Source organism: Homo sapiens, chromosome 5 (assembly GCF_000001405.40).
Source record: "Homo sapiens chromosome 5, GRCh38.p14 Primary Assembly".
Classification (NCBI taxonomy): domain Eukaryota; kingdom Metazoa; phylum Chordata; class Mammalia; order Primates; family Hominidae; genus Homo; species Homo sapiens.
The window spans coordinates 130,183,923-130,189,922 of NC_000005.10; the positions used below are offsets into that span (position 1 = coordinate 130,183,923).

The 6,000-nt window shown below is 37.1% G+C and overlaps 1 protein-coding gene across 5 annotated transcripts in view; it reads left to right on the forward strand.

Annotated features, from left to right (window-relative positions):
- Positions 1 to 2,712, forward strand: part of CHSY3 (chondroitin sulfate synthase 3) — a 282,656-nt gene extending 279,944 nt beyond the window's left edge. For all 5 annotated transcript variants that reach the window (XM_011543363.4, XM_011543365.4, NM_175856.5 and 2 more), the window contains one exon: positions 307 to 2,712. In XM_011543363.4, the coding sequence (XP_011541665.1) occupies positions 307 to 1,869 (1,563 nt within the window). In that variant the 3' untranslated portion in view covers positions 1,870 to 2,712. The remainder of the gene's footprint in view (positions 1 to 306) is intronic.
- Positions 2,713 to 6,000: the final 3,288 nt, after the last annotated feature.

Below are 6,000 nucleotides of genomic sequence, written 5' to 3' on the forward strand. Positions count from 1 at the left end.
GTGAGGTAATGAATACATCAATTAGCTAGATTTACTCATCCCACTATATGTATATTCTCTATATATTATATATATATACTTCAAAACATGTGGTACATGATAAGTACATGGAATTTCATCTACCAATTACAAATAATAAAACTATTTTAATTTTAAATAATATAAATATTACAAACCATTTTTGTTATGAAATACCATACCAAAAATGTATTAACATTTTCATTTAGATGCTTTAGTTTATCGCTGGTTTTCTTTTTAGATAAATCTTTTAAAATTAACCCTGATTTTTTTAATTTTACTTTTCAGATGCAACAACTGTTCCATGAAAATTATGAACACAATCGGAAGGGTTACATCCAAGACCTTCACAATAGCAAAATCCATGCAGCCATAACACTTCATCCCAACAAAAGGCCTGCATACCAATACAGGCTGCATAATTACATGCTCAGCCGCAAAATTTCTGAACTTCGCTACCGCACCATCCAGCTCCACAGGGAAAGTGCCCTGATGAGCAAGCTCAGTAACACAGAAGTGAGCAAAGAGGACCAGCAGCTGGGAGTGATACCTTCTTTCAACCACTTCCAGCCTCGGGAGAGAAATGAAGTGATAGAATGGGAGTTCCTGACAGGGAAGCTTCTATACTCAGCAGCTGAGAACCAGCCCCCTCGACAGAGCCTCAGTAGCATTTTAAGAACAGCACTGGATGATACCGTCCTACAGGTGATGGAGATGATCAATGAGAATGCCAAGAGCAGAGGACGGCTCATTGACTTCAAGGAAATTCAGTATGGCTACCGCAGAGTTAACCCCATGCACGGGGTGGAGTACATTTTGGATTTACTCCTTTTATACAAAAGACACAAGGGAAGGAAACTGACTGTGCCAGTGAGACGTCATGCCTATCTTCAGCAGTTGTTCAGCAAGCCTTTCTTCAGAGAGACCGAAGAGCTAGATGTCAACAGTCTTGTGGAGAGTATTAACAGTGAAACTCAGTCATTCTCCTTTATATCTAATTCTTTAAAGATATTATCTTCTTTTCAAGGTGCCAAAGAAATGGGAGGGCACAATGAAAAGAAAGTACACATTCTCGTTCCTCTCATCGGAAGGTATGACATTTTCTTGAGATTCATGGAGAACTTTGAAAACATGTGTCTTATCCCAAAGCAGAATGTAAAGTTGGTCATTATCCTTTTCAGTAGGGATTCTGGCCAAGACTCCAGCAAGCATATTGAGCTGATAAAAGGGTACCAGAACAAGTACCCCAAAGCAGAAATGACCCTGATCCCAATGAAGGGAGAGTTTTCCAGAGGTCTTGGTCTTGAAATGGCTTCTGCCCAGTTTGACAATGACACTTTGCTGCTATTTTGTGATGTTGACTTGATCTTCAGAGAAGATTTTCTCCAACGATGTAGAGACAATACAATTCAGGGACAACAGGTGTACTATCCCATCATCTTTAGCCAGTATGACCCAAAGGTAACAAACGGGGGAAATCCTCCCACTGATGATTACTTCATATTCTCAAAAAAGACTGGATTTTGGAGAGACTATGGATATGGCATCACCTGTATTTACAAAAGTGATCTTCTAGGTGCAGGTGGATTTGATACCTCAATACAAGGCTGGGGACTAGAAGATGTAGATCTCTACAATAAAGTCATTCTATCTGGCTTAAGGCCATTCAGAAGCCAAGAAGTAGGAGTGGTGCATATTTTCCATCCAGTTCATTGTGATCCTAACTTGGACCCTAAGCAGTATAAGATGTGCTTAGGATCCAAGGCAAGTACTTTCGCCTCAACCATGCAACTGGCTGAACTCTGGCTTGAAAAACATTTAGGTGTCAGGTACAATCGAACTCTCTCCTGACAGTCCAGGCAACACATTTTGCCTTTTTTAAGGGGAGTTTACCTCATTGTTGGTTGTTGTTATTTTTATTGTATTATTGTTATTTTATTATTATTATTGTTATAATTTTATTTTGTTGTCCTGGTCTTAAACTACTCTTGGTTGTCTTCCTAAGGGTGTTTGTTGACCTCAAGCAAGAAGAGTCTGCAGTTCACTGATGTTTCAGATTTCTACTGAAGTCAATATGTTATTACTTTTATATAACTTTATTTGAGATTGAGTTAAATCATAGCAATCAAATGACTTTTGAAACGCATTCATCACAAGAGACAGCTTAGAAGAATGTTCTCTTGGGGCTTAAAGATGCAATATCGACTTTTATTTGGTTTCTCAAATTCAATGTGATACAAATATTTACTGGTGAAAGGTACCACAAAAGTGCTTTATGCTTCCTATGGGGAAGGGACTCTGTAACATAAACTTGAGTTTTGTAATTTATACAAGGACTTAAATATATAAACAATAATTTTCTTCATCTTTAGAATTTTTAAAGTAAATGAATACCTATGATTGTATGTTTATTTTTTAAAAAAAGTTTTAAAAATTGAGGAGTTTTGTTCCACAAGCAACCGGTACTGGCTACCCTGGTCTTATGACAATTATGAGCTCCTCACAACTGTCTGCTATAAATGCGAATGAACTTTATTTTCTCAAGGAAATATGATTTAATTAAATATTCATGTACATTTTAGAAGCTTTATGAAACAATGTCCTTCATTTGCTGGCAAGAAGATAAAATATGACAGAACCTGTTTATTTAAAATAAAACACAGGTATAGCAGTATTCTTTTTCAAAAACACTGACAAGGTTTTGTTGTTTCCTTTTATTCACACTTGATATGTTTCTGTTCATATTCACCAAAACATGCTTGCTGAGCAGCTTGAAAAGTTAACAAGGGATTATGGTATGCTGTTTGTTTTATTATACTGGAAAACCTAGCCTTCATAAGTGATTAAACTGAGCAATTTCTTTACTCAATAATTTACCATCTGGGAGAAACATCCTTCCTCAATCTCTTCAGCTTTGGGATCAAGCTGACCCAAGAACAGTTCAAAAATTGCCTTTAATATGGGTTGGTAGGTATCTCAAAAGTCACTGGAGAAATTATTAATATGACATCAATTTTATAATTATTAAAAATACGTCAGGAAATATCTCATTTAGTTTTACATATCATTCTTTCTTTGACCTGGATCAGTGGTGTCCAGTTTCTAGAAAAGCATAATTGGATTAAAGAAGTGTAAGAGAAAATGAACATCCATCCAATGGAGTGTCATTAAGGCATATTATAAAATCTTATTTTGTAAATAGGTAATACATTTGCATGGTTCCAAAATCAAACAAAATTTTTAAATGCCTAAAGCTGTTGGCCTCACTCCCCATCCACCCATATCTGTCACCTGACTACACATGACCATTGTTTGGGCTGTGTGAGTGTTTTGTGCATGTCTTTCTAGAGTTTCTGAAGCACACATTTTACTTTTTTAACCCTCTATACACAAAATGCAGCATATTATACATATTGTTGTGCACTTTGATGTTCTGTTTCTACTTAATGGAAAAATAATTTGCATCAAAATTGATTTGAAAGTGATTGTTGTAAATTGTTGCCATTATTTTTAACTGAATGCCATGAGGCCACATATCATTTGCCTTGGTGATGTATTCCTTACATGTTGACAGCCTCTTTTACTGAAGACATTTTGGGATCCTTAACAAATATCATTGCTTAATATTAGGACAAACAGGATGGCAGTATCCTTGACTATAACTTGTAATCCTAATACTGTCAAATTCATTAGAAAATAATTAATGGCATCTTTAGATGTTAAAATGCTCATCTTGACAGGGCAAACAATTCAAAATTGATCTCTGCTCTAATATTGTCTCTGGCTTTCACAAACCCTCACTCTAATAACTTACTTTCCCATATTACAAGACCTCGCTGTCTTGCAGGTTTTATTTTCCTGAACAGTAAATATATTAGCATTCAGCAAACATAGTCATTTGGGAAGATCTATTACCAAATAATAAGTATTAAGTATTTTGTTAATGAAGAAAGGAAATCAGGGACTGATCTTTAACTCAGACAAATGAAATACGAAGGAGCTTCACAGAGGTAATAAATGTAAAGGCCTAGTTTAAAACATTCCAAGACTTAGAGAGTTATGAAGCAGCTGCCAGGGGATGAAGTGGCATTCTGTATTACATGATGAAAACATGCTGATGAACCAAGGGAATGCAGAGATCTCATTTGAACTTAATCACACATGTATACACTATACTGCTAGTATATGTGCATTTTAAATCTATTATATAATTTTGCATTCAGCCTTCATATAATCTTCTTCAGGCAATGCAGTATTACCTGACTGAAAATATGGGGAGAATGATATAGTAAAATTGAGTGTTTTTCTATCCGTGTAGTATCAATTACCTAAAGCCTTTAAGTTTGAAGGGCAACACACTATGAATGCAACCAAAAAAGCACAATATATGCATGTGAAGTAGTCCATACATTGTAGTGTTACCTTATTTGGATGGCTGTAGATGTTCTGTTTCAATGTCACCCCAAGAATAATTTCATCAGCATTCAATGTCATATTACTGATCATCTGCTGTCCACTCAGCACCACACTATGCATTTTATTTTTAAGTGTAATCCTCAGAACAGCTCTCAGAATATCGGTATTACTTTCTTCATTAAACAGATATGGAAACTGAAGCCACCATGGTTAAGTAACTTGTCCCGGGTTCACACAGTTGGCATGCTGTAGAGGTAAGATTTAAGCAAAAGCCTGTCTGAATGAAGCACCTGTTTTTTCACTCTACCCCATGGTTTCTCAGTTGCTGGAGGGATGTAGAAAACAACGGAGGGGGGAAGGGCCTCCTGACATCATGCACATGTGAGATCCACTAGTCAGCTTGCTCCTGCTGAATACTCTTTCTGGACCGAGCTAAATTTGCAGATATTTGCTCAGTTAAAGCCTCTTCAGGATTTAATCTCAAGCGTCTACCATTTTGCTAGATCCTTCTGTGCACCACTGTGTCAGGGAAGGTTAGGGTTTTTCTGTCTACCTGCTCAAACATCACTGAACTTCAGCAAGGAAAAAAACTTTCCAGAATTTCTGATGCCAACAATATCCCTTCTACATCATCTCAGCCCCTGAGTGTAGAAACTGTTCACACTGATGAACATCACCAAATAATTGCTTGACTGTTTCTGTCACTTTACTCATACAGACTTGGTATAAGCAATGTTGTCAGTGCTGAAATAGTTCTGAATTTAAGAGTTGAGCCCATTATGGCTAGTTAATAGATACGGAACTACAGGAAGGAAACACCCAAATGTGTAGACTGATAGTCCAACCAAGAGAATAAATATTCCCTGGAAAGGTAAATTATGAAGTCGCTCTGTTTTTAGCATATGAAACCTGGAGACCATCTCTAGACAGCAGCCCCATGGCTGCGCTACTCTCATTTCATTTTCAGAGGAGCCCTGTAGAAAGTTCTTTCTTCTAGGAGTAGGGCTTACCAGATGAGGTTCCCTTCTAATGGTTTCAGATTGCTCAGATGAGAGGCTGTGGGCCTGCCTGCCCTGTTGAACCCTCAGCTAGGACTTCCTTGTCCCGGGGACTATATTCTAAGGTAGACCTGGATCTAGAAAGAGATTGCTGTCTCTCTTCCTTTCCTCTTCCACCCCAACAGAAAATATGCTTATGCTGGTAAAATATAAATAACCACAAAATATTTGTAGCTCCATATTGACCTTAATGATAAGGTTTATATGGGGAAATAAAGATTTCAGCATATTTTACATTATATGGCCAAGCTACCTTTATTTCCCTGCTACCTAAGTCACTGCACCTGTGGCCCTACAAGTTACAGGAAACTTGTGTGCCTTATCCTAGCAGTATCTCTATCTAAGAGGTGACTACTGGTAATCTGAAGAATGCCCACTTAATCTCTCATTTGTGCTTAATTATTGATGGCACAATCTCTTCAGGAAGTAGCCTGCGATTGTGGATATTACAGAGTGAATGAGAAAAACGGTGTCCTTAGGGACAATAAAAGAATATGCTATCAGTTCT